Here is a 15,489-nt window from a genome sequence, read left to right on the forward strand (position 1 = left end):
CGTGCCTGGCCTCACCATGCAGATTCTAAATATGTCCACTCAGAGGCGTTGCCACTCATGGGCAGATTTCCTTTCCAGTCTTTTTTTCTTTGAATTTCTTTATATAGTTGAGATGCACAATTTTTAAATCTTGCTTTTTACTTTTCACATTATAACATAAGGGTTTTCTTTTAAGATTAAAAGTATTTTTTCATATTATACATATTTCTAGAAAAATTTAATATAGAAATATGTGAAGTAAAGTGAAATTTCTCTCTAATACCATCTGTCACTGTACCTAATACTAGAAAGAAAATTTAAAATATTAAAGTATATAAAGTAGAAAGTGATGTTTCACTGTTATACTTCTACCAGTGTTACCCACTGTTTGTTTTTTTCCCTTTTGCATATCAGTGGTATCTGCAAATTACTGAAATGGAATTGTACTATAAATACACTTGTCAAGTTTGCTTTTTTCACTTGTTAATATATTTTCAGTCTGGGTGCAGTAGTTCACACCTGTAATCCTGAGATGGGCTGATCACTTGAGCCCAGGAGTTGTTGACTAGCCTTAGACAACATGGCGAAACACTGTCTCTACAAAAAAATACAAAAATTAGGCAGTTGTGGTGGTGCACACCTGTAGCCCTATCTACTCAGGAGGCCGAGGTGGGAGGATTCCTTGAGCCTGGGAGGCTGAGGCTGCAGATTGCACCACTGCACTCCAGCCTGGGTGACAGAGTCAGGCTCCATCTCAAAAAAACCCCAAACATATATATATGCTATCCCCAAACATATATATATGCTATATATAAGCATTTTCCAATATGACTAAAACACTATTTAAATGACATTTTAAATAGCTATGTAACATTTCATCATTTATATGTACTCTGGTTTATATAACCATTCCTCTAAGGCTGCCAGTTTGGATCTAAGTAAATATTTATTCACTTTTTAAAATTCTTTCCCAAAGCTAAGTCTCAGATAACCTCACTGAGTCAGAGATAAACATTTTAAAGTTTCCCTTCCAGGGAGAGTTTATCATCTTACACTCTCAGCAGTAGCTTATGAAAATATACAGTGACAACAATCACAAACACTTAAAAAATCTTTGTTGATCTCCTGGATGAAAAAGCTTTCGTTTAATTTGTTTCTTAACACTAGAGGGTTCAGTGCTTCTGCATGTTCAATGATCTTCCTCTGTGATTTTTGGAATAGAGGTGATCTTCGCCCTATTACACAAAACGTTGATTTCCAGCTCAGATTCCTTAGAACTTGCTAACCCCATTCCTGGAACCAAAGTGCTGTTTGCTGTGTTCTCCATACATTGGATCAGAAGCCTAAGCTCTGGAAGTCCTGCGCCGTTTCCTGGTGGCCTCCTAGCTCCCTCTAGGGGCCCCATCCGCAACTGCAGCCCCACCTTCTTTCCTCTCTTGAGGAATGAGTTTACCCTGCGGGAATTCCGAGAAGGAAGAGGCGAAAGTGGGGAGCTCCACAAGTAAAGATTTGGACTTTGTGATCAGACAGTGTGTGAATAGTTTTGCTTACTGGTTGAGCAAGCTTCTCTTAGGTGGGCTGTCTTTTTTTTTTTTTTTTTTTTTTTTTCCCGAGACGGAGTCTCTCTCTGTCATAAAGGCTAGAGTGCAATGGCGCGATCTTAGCTTCCTGCAGCCTCCGCCTCCCAGGTTCAAGCGATTCTCCTACCGCGGCCTCCCAAGTAGCTAGGATTATAGGCGCGTGCCACCATGCCAAGCTAATTTTTGTATTTTTAGTGGAGATGAGGTTTCGCCATGTTGGCCAGGCTGGTCTCGAACTCGTGATCTCAAGTGGTCCAACAGCCTCAGCCTCCCAGAGTGCTGGGATCACAGGCGTGAGCCACCGCGCCCGGCCAGGTGGGCTGTTTGTGTTCCTCGTCACCTTGTTCCTGGGGAGGGACAGAGGGCAGCAGATCAGCTGTCACCCAGGTAGGTGTCCGACGTGGGAAAAGTATGGGAAAGATACTCTAGTTAGTTCTCATTTTCTTTTCTAAAACTTCGAGTTCTCTGGAGTCCCTTTATAGAGAGAAAGTTTAAGTAACTGAAATTAATTTCCATGGCTGTCAAGGGGGTTCTGATGATGATCCCTGAGATCACCCAGCTGTAGGTAGACATTCTTGGTACCTTAGTTTAGCAGAGTCAGAAAATACTGCGAACGTTCAAGGATGGGGACCTTCTAGAAGAGAGGGCAACAGTAACTTTGAGGGGAGGACAAGAGAGCAGCTTTGGAGACCTAAAGAGTTGTGGCCTTCTATGTAAGTCCTATTATCCCTTCCATGCACCCCCACCCACATTCCCCTACTCCATTAAACTTTGTTTCAGGTTATAAAAATAATGCATAATTATTGCAGGAAAAAATGGTAATTGAAAATCACCTATTTCTTACACTCAAAGATAATGACTTAAAATTTGGTGTACATCTTATGTGTATGAGTGTACACATAATTTTGTCATCATATATGTGAGTGTGTTCATAACTGTAACCCACATACTTATATACTTCCTTTAAAATATTTTAAGTATTTTTCCCTGTCAATAAATATTTTTTTGAAAACACAATCTTTTTATGGCTGCATAATATTCCAACATGTATATGGGTTATCATTTAATAGGAATTGGACATTTGATGCTCATTTTTAGCAAGCTATTATAAATCTGAGATGACGATTTCTGGAACTAGGATAAATTCCTGAAATAGAATTTTTGGGGAGAAAATATCTGAACTTTGTAAATTCTACTGACATTTAATACAAATTTCTCTCCTAAGAGCTTGTTTTAGCTTCTGCTATCCCTTGCAGAGTGTGAACAAGTATCTGTTTGTCTGTGTCATTACTAACACTGGGGTTATCATTCTTTTTAAGCTTTGCTAGTCTGATAGGTAAAGCATAGGGTTTTTTGTTGTTGTTTGTTTTTGGAGAGACAGAGTCTCACTCTATTGCCCAGGCTGGCGTGCACAGACGTGATCTCAGCTCACTGCAGTCTCAACCTCTAGGCACAAGTGATCCTCCTAGCTCAGCCTCCTAAGTAGCTGGGACTACAGGCGTGCCCCACTACACCTAGCTAACTTTTTTATTATTTGTAGAGATGGGATCTTGCTGTGTTGCCTAGGCTGGTCTTGAGCTCCTGGGTTCAAGTGATCCTCCCACCTTGGCCTCCCAAAGTGTTGGAATTACAGGTGTGAGCCACTGTGCCTGGCAGCAATATTTTTTAAATCATGAGGAAAGCTAAAGATTTTATTTTATAGTTATTGATCATTCATACTTATTTTGTGGTTTGTCTGCCTATTCTTTACCCATTTTTTATATAGGACTGTTACTTGAGTTATTTTCATATTAGAGTTACATCCTTTTCTGTCATACAGTATAGATGTTTGCTCTAGTTTGTTATTGCCTTTTCGTTTACGGTGTTTCACCTAAGTGTGTGTGTGTGTGTGTGTGTGTGCGCGTGTAAAACCTACTGGAAGGTACTATGGGAAATAATCCTTATTTACCTGTCACCCAGAATGCACAGACATTTTTACATTATAGTTTTGGTTTGATATTTTTTATAAAGGAAATTAAATATATAAAAATTGTGTGTGTATTTTAAAACCTACTGGAAAGTACTATAGGAAATAATCCTTATTTACCTATCACCCAGAATGCACAGACATTTTTACATTGTAGCTTTGATTCTGTATTTTTATAAAGGAAATAAAATATTATATAAAAATTGGAATCATCTTGATTCCTTTTCCCATCCTCTCCCTTCCTTCCCTAGGGCAGCTGCCATTATGAATTGAAATTTTCCTACTGTTACCATATATACTATTGTCAATAAAAAACATACAGTACTAGTTTACAGTACTAGTTTGTGGCCGGGCATGGTGGCTCACACCTGTAATCCCAGCACTTTGGGAGGCCGAGGTGGGTGGATCACCTGAGGTCAGGAGTTCGAGACCAGCCTGGCCACCATCTCTACTAAAAATACAAAAATTAGCCGGGTATGGTGGTGAGTGCCTGTAATCCCAGTTGCTTGGGAGGCTGAGGCAGGAGAATCACTTGAACCTGGGAGGCAGAGGCTGCAGTGAACCAAGATCGTGCCACTGCACTCCAGCCTGGGCGACACAGCGAGACTCCGTCTCAAAAAAAAAAAACAAAACAGTACTAGTTTGTGTATGTGTGTGTGCGCACTCTCAAACTTACACATATACGATCATTGGTATATCTTCAGGCATTTTGCCTTATTTGCACTGGTGTTCAGTTCAATTAATAATGATATGCATAGATCTAGCCCTTTCATTTTGACTGCTGTCTGGTATTACATCCAGTAAATACAGCTCCAGTTTCTTCGTCTATTTATCAATTCTCATATCTAGTGAACACTGAAGACGCTTCTAGTTTTTCCATAACAACGTTGCCGTGAACATCCATACATGTCTGTCCTCATGCATGTTTGGGTAATCTTCTCAAGGGGCAACCTTAGAAGTGTGTTGTGGATTATGTGTATTTTCAGATCTATTGGCCCTTGACAAATTGTTCCCAAGTAGTCATCCCAGTTGATGATACTCCCACCAGTGTGAAAGGGCTCCTCTTGTCCCACACCTTCCAAGACATGCTATTAGATTTAGTAATTTTTGCCAATCTATGAAAGTGAGATAGAATCTCATTGTGGTTTTAGTTTGCATTATCCTGATTGTTGATAGGATAGAACATCTTTTTATTATAGATATTGGGGTTATGATTAATAATCCTGGTTATTCCTAAGGTATAACAGGTTTTCTATTCTATGCACTTTCTCTTCCTGCCCTTTGCTCATTTCCCCATTGGATTATTTATCTTTTTCTTATTAATTGGTGTTCTTTGTGTCTTAGGTACTAATACTATTTTAATTTATTTTATTTATTTATTTTTGAGACAGAGTCTTGCTCTGTTGCCCAGTCTTGACTCACTGCAATCTCCACCTCCTGGGTTCAAGTGATTCTTCTGCCTCAGACTCCCAAGTAGTGCGTGGCACCATGCCTGGCTAATTTTTTTTTTTTTTTTTTTTGAGACAGAGTCTCCCTCTGTCACCCAGGCTGGAGTGCAGTGGCATGATCTCGGCTCACTGCAACCTCCGCCTCCTAGGTGCAGGCGATTCTCCTGCCTCAGTCTCCCAAGTAGCTGGGGTTACAGGTGCATGCCACCATGCCCAGCTCTTTTTTGTATTTTTAGTAGAGATGGGGTTTCACCATATTGGCCAGGCTGATCTCGAACTCCTGACCTCAGGTGATCCACCTGCCTCAGCCTCCCAAAGTGCTGGCACTACAGGCTTGAGCCACTGTGCCCGGCCAATTTTTGTACCTTTTGTAGAGACAAAGTTTCACCATGTTGGCCAGGCTGGTCCCAAACTCCTGACCTCAAGTGATCCTCCCGTGTCAGCCTCCCAAAATGCTGGGACTACAGACGTGAACAACTGTGCCCGGCCAGATACTAATAGCATTTTATATGTGCTTTGGCCATCTTCTGATCCATGGCTTACTCTTCCTTTTTTCTTTAACTCAACATGTACTGCACTCTGTTAGAGTATTGCCAAAGCTTCCCCTCCAAGTATGAAGCTGACTTAGCTATATCTTCAAGGAATGTAGCATATACTCAGAGTATTAAAAAGTCCTACAGGAACCTACAGGAGGGCTGGGGGAAACATTCAGACAACACTAGATCTGGTAGCAACGACCACCACAGCAAAGAAGATGGATTTGTAGTTAAAGTTACTTCCTTTTTTATGCCTTTTCCGCTGCGTTGATGCTTTCAGGGTCCTCTCTGAGGTCTGAGGAATGTTCTTTGACAGTCTTGTCGCTATCTGCCTTGCGCTGCTTTGCCTCCTGTGGGCGTCACCAGGCGAGGGCAGCCAGTGTTCGTCTGGCGGGTTTCTCTGTATCTCGGGCACTGTTTGTGACAATGATGATTTTACTTTCATTTTGTGGGCTGGCCCCAAAGGGCTTGGTTTAACTTTTTGCAGAGAGTTCATTCAGTTTCTGAAACCCCCACATTGCCTGTTGAGTATGTGTTGAGCCTAGCACTGGAAATGCCCTCAGATCTGTGAATACTGCCAAGTAGGGGATCCCGGGACACCCTCTGCTGACCTTGAGCTCACAGCCCCATTGTGTTTTCCATAAGAGATGAGAGGGACTGATAAAGGATGTTTACCTGTGTTAGCCTTATGGAAGCAAGAGTTCCATCCAAGGAATCAGGGTGCTTTGAACTTTTCCCACTCCCGCCTACTCGTTTTAGGTCAAGAGAAACAAAAATATCCTTCCAACAATGTGTGTTTTCTACAGTTTAGGTGAGAAAAAGATAGGAAAATAATAGTTAACCAATGTATAGGACTCTCCTGATAGGCGGTCACAATGGTCCTGGAGCATATGTCCAAGGTGACTGTCATAAATGCCTGTGGGAAACTGCATCTTCACAAGAGACTGTTGCTTGGATGCCCCCTTGTGTTGCCTCTGCTGTCCTGCCACCAAATGCTTTGCTGGCATCTTTCCAAGCAGATAGGAGGTGCTGGAAGGTGAGCGTAGGATGACTTCCAAGTCAGCCCTTGAGTCTTTTTGCCAAATAGCACCTGCCAGGGCACCCTTCCTCCCGGCCTCAGCCTGCCTGCCTCTCGCCGAGGGCCACGGCATCTTTTAGGAACTGGAAAGTGTCATTGACAGTTGGCGGTTTTTACGTGTTTATTTCTGCCTAAAGATTTTGCTTTTCACTTTTCACTTTTTCCACTGCATATTAAAATTTTTCTTTTTTTACCCTGTGTTTGTGATTTTTTCCTTAGGCCGGAAGCTGAGAGGAAAAGCCTTTTATTTTGTCAACGGCAAAGTGTTTTGTGAAGAAGACTTCCTGGTGAGTGTGTCACCGAAGCCTCCCCTTGCATGTCCTGGCCAGAGTCAGAGGGCAGGGGCCTGGGGGGACCTGGGCCAGCGTGTAGGGAAGCTGCACTGCTGGAGAGAGGGGCCCTGCCTTTCCTTCTGTAGATACTTGGGGGTGGCCATGTTCCTGAGGCCAATGGCAAACCACACAGCTTTGTACTTTGAAGGAACTGTGGGGTCACTTGGCTATCCTCTTGCTGCTTTCTGCAGTTCTGCCTCTTCCACCACCCTGGACTCCTCCTCTTAGACCACTGGACTGGGACCTGGGCTCTCTTCTTCTCATCCCACTCTCTCTGGGGATCTAGCTTCTCCCATGGACTGGAAGTCCATCCATGTGCCAGTGGCTCCCAGACCTGAGCTCTAGCCCTGCCGCACCTCTGAGGCCAGCTGCTGGCATCCCACTGGCCCCTGGGCTGTGTCCCAACCCCTCACGTACCAGCCCCTCACCATATTTCTGTGAAGCAGAAAAATCTTACCTTGCCTTGGGTCCTGATCTGTGAGAATTGCCTCCTAGGTTTGTCCTCAACCCCACCTCCTTGAACGCAGCCAGGCGTTGAACTCTGTGCTGCCATGTCTTCCACAATTCTGCCTCCGTTCATACCTCCGGCATGGCTCAGCCAGGCTAGCTTAACGGCCTCCGCACACCCGCATCAAGAGGCCTTATAGGGCATAAACCTGGCCTGCTTGGTCCCAGCATGTGCAGGGTACAAAGCACACTCAGAAGCTCTCCGAGGTCTGGAATCCCCAGCTGCCCACACCTATGCAACCTCATGCCTTCGTGCCTTTGCTTGGGCCATTTCCCCTGCTTGCAATGTCTTGCCCCTTTATTTTCCCAGATCCCCCCAACAGCCTTCCTGTCCCTCCTGCACCCACAATGGAGGAGCTCTTCTGTGCTGCCACCATGCCCAGGGCCTGCCCTGGCAGGGCTGTGGGCTGTTAGCCCTGAGCAGTATGTCTGCTTACAAGTCTCTCCTCCATTGACTGAAAGCTTCCAGGATAGAAAGAACATGCGTCTTCACCTTCACACCTGCAGATTCTAACAAGATGCCATGCAGACTGGGTGCTTGGTAGTTGGTGGTTGAAATGACTCTGTCATCTCAGGGATGAGGAATGTGAGATGCAGAGATGGGCTCAGGGCCAGCTTCTCCCTGCCTTCCCTTGAGAAAAGCTCTATTTGGTTTTCACTGAAAAGTTGATTCATTATGATTCCTGTTGGCCAGAAACAGACTAGCAAACCCAAACGGGCTTAAGTAAAAAGGAAATTATTCCAGCAGTGCCTCAGGAGTCATTTTCTCCACAGTTTTTGGCCGTGTATCTCAGTGTTAGCTTCAGTCTCAGGTCCTATGTGATGGCCAGATGTTGGGAGGACCCCAGAGTTTACATTCTCTCAGTTTCACATCCGATGGGCAAGAGTGCCAGTCCCTCCTTCGGAATCCTCCACAGACGTCTGATGGAGTCTCATTGGCTCTTACTGGGCCACATGCCCACGCCTGGAAAAAGTAACAGTGCTGGAGGAATGCAAGGCTCTGATGGGCCAGATCTGTCAATGCCCTGCCTGGGCCCTGGCATGGAGCCAGCCCACATGGTGATGGGAGCCACGTGGTGTGGAGCTGGGGGCTGGATCTCAAATGAAAATAGAGAGCTATTACCCCCAGAATGGGGCGTAGGTGCCAGACAACAGAAACCTCCACCACATGGTGTAGAGTTGCAGAAAGTTTCCCTTTTTTGTTTTTCCCAGCTTCCTTTCATAAGGTTTCCCCCAGTTAAGTTGTGTTTGTAATACCCAAACTTCTAGTCTAGCGTGTAGCATCTAGTATGTTTTTTGAAGAGAGCACCTCATGTCTTTCAAGACTGTGTGTGTGTATGTGTTTAGGTAAGATAAGGTAAGGTAAAGTAGATATTTATTAAGTTTCTTTGAAGCTAACTATAAAAGGCATTAGCTTTTTAACCAGAACCGGAGTTGAATTTGATTTCTGTCCTTACCCTTTGTTGGCTGTGTGACCTTGAAAAGTTCACTTAACCTCTCTGAGCTGCCCTCTGCTTCTATTTGAGGATTCTGGGTAATAATGTAGACCTTGCAGAATTGTTGTAAGCATTAGAGTGATGGTTTCAGAATCCCCTGAAAGGCTTGTGAAAACACAGATTGCCAGAACCCACCCCCTGAGTTTCCAAATCAGTAGGTCTGGAGTGGAGCCCAAGGATTTGCATTTTTTACAAGCTTTCAAGTGATGCCAGGGAACTGCTCTTTGAGAACCACTGAGATGGGATTAAAGCATCTCTATATACAGTCCCTTACATAGAGCCTGGCATGCTGTGGGTGCCCAGACACAGTCATTGTTAGAGTGAGTGGTACTAGTATTTGTGATGGCTTTCGTGGCAGAGAATATTCTATGACTCAGCCCACAGCTGTGTTGTACTTGGGGATGACAGAATTCTGCACAGAGTGACACATCTTTCTGAGAAATTCCTTATAATCCTCTTGGCTGTTGGGGAAGTGGCTGATTCATCTTACCAGTCTGGGTTTAACTTTCTTTTCTTTTTCTTCTGCAGTACTCTGGTTTCCAGCAGTCGGCTGACAGGTGTTTTCTTTGTGGACATCTGATCATGGACATGGTGAGTAGGTCAGCCAAAGAAGAGAACAGCATCTCAGGTGGAGGAGGAGGTGTTCAGAGAAAAAAGAAATTAATAATTGAGGACAGTGTTTCTTATCTTGATTTGTGGTTACAGCTGGGCGCAGTGGCTCATGCCTGTAATCCCAGCACTTTGGGAGGCCGAGGCGGGCGGATCACGAGGTCAGGAGTTTGAGACCAACCAGCCTGGCCAATATGGTGAAACCTTGTCTCTACTAAAAATACAAAAATTTTCCGGGCGTGGTGGTGCATGCCTGTAGTCCCAGCTACTTGAGAGGCCAAGGCAGGAGAATTGTTTGAACCCTGGAGGCGGAGTTTGCAGTGAGCCAAGATCACGCCACTGCACTCCAGCCTGGGCAACAGAGTGAGACTCCACCTCAAAAAAAAAAAAAAAGTCCCTGTAAAGTACAGCTTGCTTGTTCTAATAGAACCCACATTGTTGGCTTTTATTGGAATTAACATCTTTAACCATCTAGAGCACACGCTATCATGTTTCCGATAATGCTTTCTCCTCCTCTGGGCTGTTTGAATCGCACTGGCCTCCCTCTGGCTTCTCTGTGATCCTTGTGGCATCCCAGGTGAGATGCTAAATACAGTCTGTTTTTACTGCAGAAATCTCAGCTACCTTGGAGTCAAATGCAGAAAGCCAGAGGAGCAAAGTTGTTTTTCTCCCTGTGTTATGCCCAGCTCACACCATTACGAAGATGAGTTTTTAGGGCCTGTCATTTAGTTCTGAGACAGCAGAGCAAGGACCAGGTTTTATACATTCCATTCTTTGCTCAGTCACTGGCTCTCTGAGGTTATTTTGGGCTTCAGGTCTTCAGTGGGGACAATTTTTCCCTAGAGGGTTAGGTTATGAGGTTAATGAATACAACATCAAATTGTTCACCATTGGAAACCAGCCTTTAAGAAGTTCTTTAATATACTGATCAGAGGAAATGATTATATAACATACTTTAAGTTGGAAACAGTTAAGTCCCTCTCTAAGCTGACTCATTAATTTCATTCTAGAGAAGATAATTTCTAATTATTAGTATTTTTAATTTTACCTTTTTATTGAGAAATAACTCATAGAGTAAAAGATACTAATCTTAAGTGTACATCTGAACGAGTTTTCACATGTGCATATACCCCTGTAACCACCACCCAGATCAAGATATAGAACACTTCCCAAACTCCAGAAAGTTCCTTCTTGTCTATTCCCACTCAAGACCCCACTCCCACAAAGGCAACCATTATTCCAACTTCTATTGCCAGAAATTCATTTTGCTGGTTTTGGAACTTCATATAAATAGAAACATATAGTATAGACTCTTTCAGGTCTTATTACATATGTTTTTGAGCTTCATCCATGCTGTTACCTGTATTGGTAGTTTATTGATTTGTATTGCTAAGTGGAATTCCATTGTATGGATATAGCACAATTTATTTCTCCATCTCATGTTGATGGGGATTTGGTGGTTTCTAGTTTTTTGCTATTTATGCATGAAGCTGCTGTGAATACTCTTGAACATGTCTTTGATGGACATAAACACTCATTTCTGCTGGTTATATGCTAATATTTATAAAACATCAGTGACCCACAGCCCTCCCCATTCGTGATGAATATCTGCTATCTCCCAGGCTTTGACAGACCTCAGCAGAGGTCTTAGCCCTATTAGAGCCATGTCCTCATTAGTAGCCAAGACCTCCCTGGGAAACGTGGCCCTTCCCCCATGCTCGCAGTGGGAGGTAGGCAGAAGCTACATATGCTTACCTCTCCTTCCCAGGTATCTTCTAGACTCTGTAGGGCTCTATTTCTTTAGCAGAATTTGCCTTTGTTTTTAGTGTCCTTCTGACAAACCTACTTCATATGAAGTCAACATGCTCTGAATTTATGAGTATGATTATACCCTATTCTTAGTTCTAGTAATCCTAAGACTTCTTTGGATAACCTCAGGGTATGTCATTTATCTATTGCTGCATGACAAACCACCCTAAAACTTTGTAGTTTAAAACAATAGTGATTTCTTATTTATCATCATGCTTCATGCTGTGGGTCAGGATTTAGGTCAGGGTTTAGCAGGCCAATTCTTCTGCTCTGTGTGGCATTGGCTGGGGTCTCCTACTTAACTTTGTTCAGCTGGTAGCACAGTTGAACTGGAACATCCAAGATGACCTCTCACCCTCCAGGCCCCTCTCCCTGTAGCCTCTAATCATTCAGTAGTCTAGTTCAGACTTCCTTACAGCAAGAGATAGGAAGTGGAAGCTACCAGTCTTCTTAAGCCTTTGACTCAGAAATCTCAGAACATTGTTTCTTCTGCTTTCTGTTAATTAAAGAAAGTCACAAAGCCAGTTCTGATTCAAGGGGAGGGGGAAATAGTCCCCATCTCTTGATGTGAGATCTCTACCATATGGGATAGTATGAAGTTGAAGCTTCAGTCTTTCAGGTCTTCCCTAGGACTTGAAAACTTTTAGTGAATGTCTAGACAGAACCCCAGCTGTCTAACTCTTTGTGTAAATTGTCTCTCTATATACCCTTTTGTTAATAGAGGGGTACATTCTGGGCTTGCAGGTTAGAACCAGGCATAGTCTCACATAAAAAAAGTATTACAGCTAGTCACAATGCAGCAAAATGGCATCTTTTTCTAATCTTACTTTAGGCACAATGTGGATTAAATTAATTTAAGGATCTCTTTCTGCCAAGACAGCATTCATCTTGGGGAAAATGCATTCCAAGGTCCAAATTGCCAAATGGGTTTTGGAAGCCCAGCCAGTTGTTCTTCCTGTTTTGCCTTACTGCAGATTGAGAGGGCCCTCAAAGGTTAGGGAAACCCAAGAGGGAATGAGGAAGCTTGAAAGCTGAGCATTCAGAGGAAAGCTGGAATAGCACAACGCCCTCCTCTTGCCTTCTTGGCTGGAGCTTGTGCAGTGTGGAGTTATCCGCCTGAGGCTTCCAGGGGAAGGAGCTGTAACACAGCATATCTTTACCCCTGGGTCTCACAGTGTACTGACAAGGCTTCCCCAAATCCAAAATCCCCTTTCTTCAGCCTGTTTGAAGGCTTTCTGTGTGGGCTCCCACTGCTGGATGCTGATGACCGTTCTGTACATTCTTTGCAGATGCATGTTTTGGTGTGACCTTGCTCATGTTGATTCTGTAGTTCAGTTGTTTTTGCTAAGTTTCATGATGCAGGTAATTGCAGAAATGAATCTCCTATTAAGTCAGTGAAGATGCTTTCAACTGCAAATTATAGAAAAAACCCAGACTCAGTTCGAGTTAAACCAATGATCCTCCAACTTTAATATATATCAGAATCACCCTATTAAAATACCAACTGCTGGGCCTTACCCCCAGAGTTTCTGATTCAAGAAATCTGGGATGGGGTCCAAGAATGTGCATTATTAACAAGTTTGCAGGTGATGCTAATGCTGAAGGTCTGGGGCCACACACATTTCGAGGACCACTGACTTCATAGGAATGATATTTTATCTCACCTAAAAAGAGGCTTGGAGGTATGTGGTTCCATGATGAGTTAATTCAGTTACTTACGGACCTCACCAAGGATGTTCTTTCCATCTCTTCTCTTTCCTGCTGTCCATGTCTTGGGTCTGTCCTGGTTTCAGGTTGGCTCTGGCAGTTCCAGGTATCCCATCCAGATCCAGATTAAATGACACTGAGAGGAAGAAGTTTGTGGGGCTTTCCCTCTATTGCGTTTAAAAACAACAACAGAGAAACTTTACTTATTACACTTGGATTTGAGGTCATTGGGTTGAGTCAGAACTTCTAGATTATCATGCTCCAGAGTCAAAGCTGCATAGAAGGGGCATCCAAGAGGCAGAAGTGAAGGGGTTCCTTTTGAGCTCTGCCATTTCCACATGGAATTTCTTTTCATTTTTCCGAGTACTTGCTGCTTCCCAAATCTGGGAAGGATGTATCCTTCTGTGGCCCTGCTTTGCATCGTTTCCCACTTCTTCGTGGTGGATTTTGGCCCTGGGATTGGCCCATCCCTTCCTTACCATCTCTTTCTCTTAAAGAACTATGCAAGAGTTTCCTGTTCTGGGTGAGGGTTGGAAAGGAGCCCTCTTTCCCTGCCAGCTCAGAGACCCTGTGAGAGGCTGCAGGAGAAGGATTCCTGTGTGGTCTCTTCTGTGTATTCATCTAAACAGATTTGCCTTTCCCACCCCATCACCTCTTGCTCTTCTCCTAGGTGAAACTCGGGGGTAAGTGTACTCTGTGTGTGACTGCTCATGTAATCCTTAGGCCTGATGTGTTCCTCTCCCCTTCCACCATCTCATCCTTCCCTATAATCCCCACTGAGTCTTGGTCTCTGCTCCAGATCCTGCAAGCCCTGGGGAAGTCCTACCACCCCGGCTGTTTCCGCTGTGTCATCTGTAATGAGTGTTTGGATGGGGTGCCCTTCACCGTGGACTCAGAGAACAAGATCTACTGTGTCCGAGATTACCACAAGTAAGAAGGGATGGGAGCAGACAGGACCCATTCGTGTAGGCCAAGCTGATCTCAGCAGAGTGAGTGGTGGAAACCGACAAAACTGTGTTTGCCAGCCGCCCTTAGATCACAGTCCAGCAAAGGCTTAATGGTTTTGAGGGGTACAGCAGGGACCTTGGGAGGTTGGTCGATGCCAGTGTTGACAGGAATGGGTTAAAGAATCATGTTTAGTGAAAAAAAAAAAACAACAGAGCACAGAAAAACTAATAATCATATTTGTAGCTAGGCCTCGGGAGGAATCCACCAAGCCCTGTGGCTTCAGCGTTACCTAACTTCACAAGGCCCCTATGCAGTGCTGGTTCCTACCACTCTTGGTTTGCCTGGGCCTGTGCTAGGCACCATGAGAGGTGTAAACAAATCAGTTAGTGCTGTCCCCAGAAGAGTGAGAGGCAGCCAGTGTCCTCATTGCAGCTGGGGAGCAAATACTAAGGCATATTCCACAAAGTGAGCCAGGTACCAGTCATTCTATGAGGGAGGAGAGCAAGGGGCAGGAGGCGGCATGGAGGAAGGCTCCATGTGGATTCCAAGTGCAAGTCTGACTCTGGAATTTGCTCCCAGAAGCAACATTTATTGCTGCTTTGTTTCTCCCCACAGGGTGCTGGCCCCCAAGTGTGCAGCCTGTGGGCTTCCCATCCTTCCACCTGAGGTAAGATGCCCTTCCAGACATGCTCCCAGGGGCTTCTAAGACATGAATATCTCCCTGGGCTCATTTACAAGATCCATGTCCTGTCCTTACAGCTTTTAAGGTATCCTTTTAAAAATCTCAACTCTGGCCTGGTGCAGTGGCTCACGCCTGTAATCCCACCCCTTTTAGGAGGCCCAGGCAGGAAAATTGCTTGAGGCCTGGAGTTTAAGAACAGCCTGGGCAACATAGCAAGACCTCATCTCTACAAAAAATTGTTAAAAATTGGCCAAGTGTGGTGGCATGTGCCTGTAGTCCTAGCTGCTTGAGCCCAAGAGTTTGAGGCTGCAGCGAGCTATGATGGTGCTACTGCATTCCAGCAGGTGACAGCAAGACCTTGTCTCCAAAAAAAAAAAACCAAAAAAAACCCCACTTCACCTTTGAGATAAGTCGTGTCTTCACCCTTCCTTGTTGACTGGCTTCCCCAACCCAGTACCCTTCTTGTGCTGATTTGTCCCCATAACCAGGTCAAACTCCCTTACTTGATACTAATTCTTAGATTAGCAGATGAGGAGAAAGGCTTGTCTTTTCTTCATTTTTTAAAATAAGTGTCCATGTAGGTCTTTCTTTCAGTGTTAACTCTGACATTCTAGAAGGAAGGACTCCTATCCCTCCTACTTCCCCTCTCATCAGCTTAAATGTATTCTTCTTCCAGTAAGTACTCCTGATTTACCTTCTCCTCCCAAGGCCACCTACTTGTTACCCCCAAAACCCTCTTCCCTCCCCACCCCACGGTACATCAAGCCCGACAGCCCCCCTAACAGGCCTCTCCTATGTGTTCTTGCTTTTCT

General features: G+C 44.3%; 1 protein-coding gene across 1 annotated transcript in view; it reads left to right on the top strand.

Moving 5' to 3' along the window:
- The window catches only part of LIMD1 (LIM domain containing 1), a 91,591-nt gene that overhangs the window by 64,093 nt on the left and 12,009 nt on the right, over positions 1-15,489 (top strand). The window contains exons 3-6 of the mRNA NM_014240.3: positions 6,807-6,874; positions 9,451-9,513; positions 13,847-13,977; positions 14,611-14,662. Of these exons, the coding sequence (NP_055055.1) occupies positions 6,807-6,874; positions 9,451-9,513; positions 13,847-13,977; positions 14,611-14,662 (314 nt within the window). The remainder of the gene's footprint in view (positions 1-6,806; positions 6,875-9,450; positions 9,514-13,846; positions 13,978-14,610; positions 14,663-15,489) is intronic.

The sequence above is a fragment of the Homo sapiens genome, chromosome 3 (genome assembly GCF_000001405.40).
Source record: "Homo sapiens chromosome 3, GRCh38.p14 Primary Assembly".
NCBI lineage: Eukaryota > Metazoa > Chordata > Mammalia > Primates > Hominidae > Homo > Homo sapiens.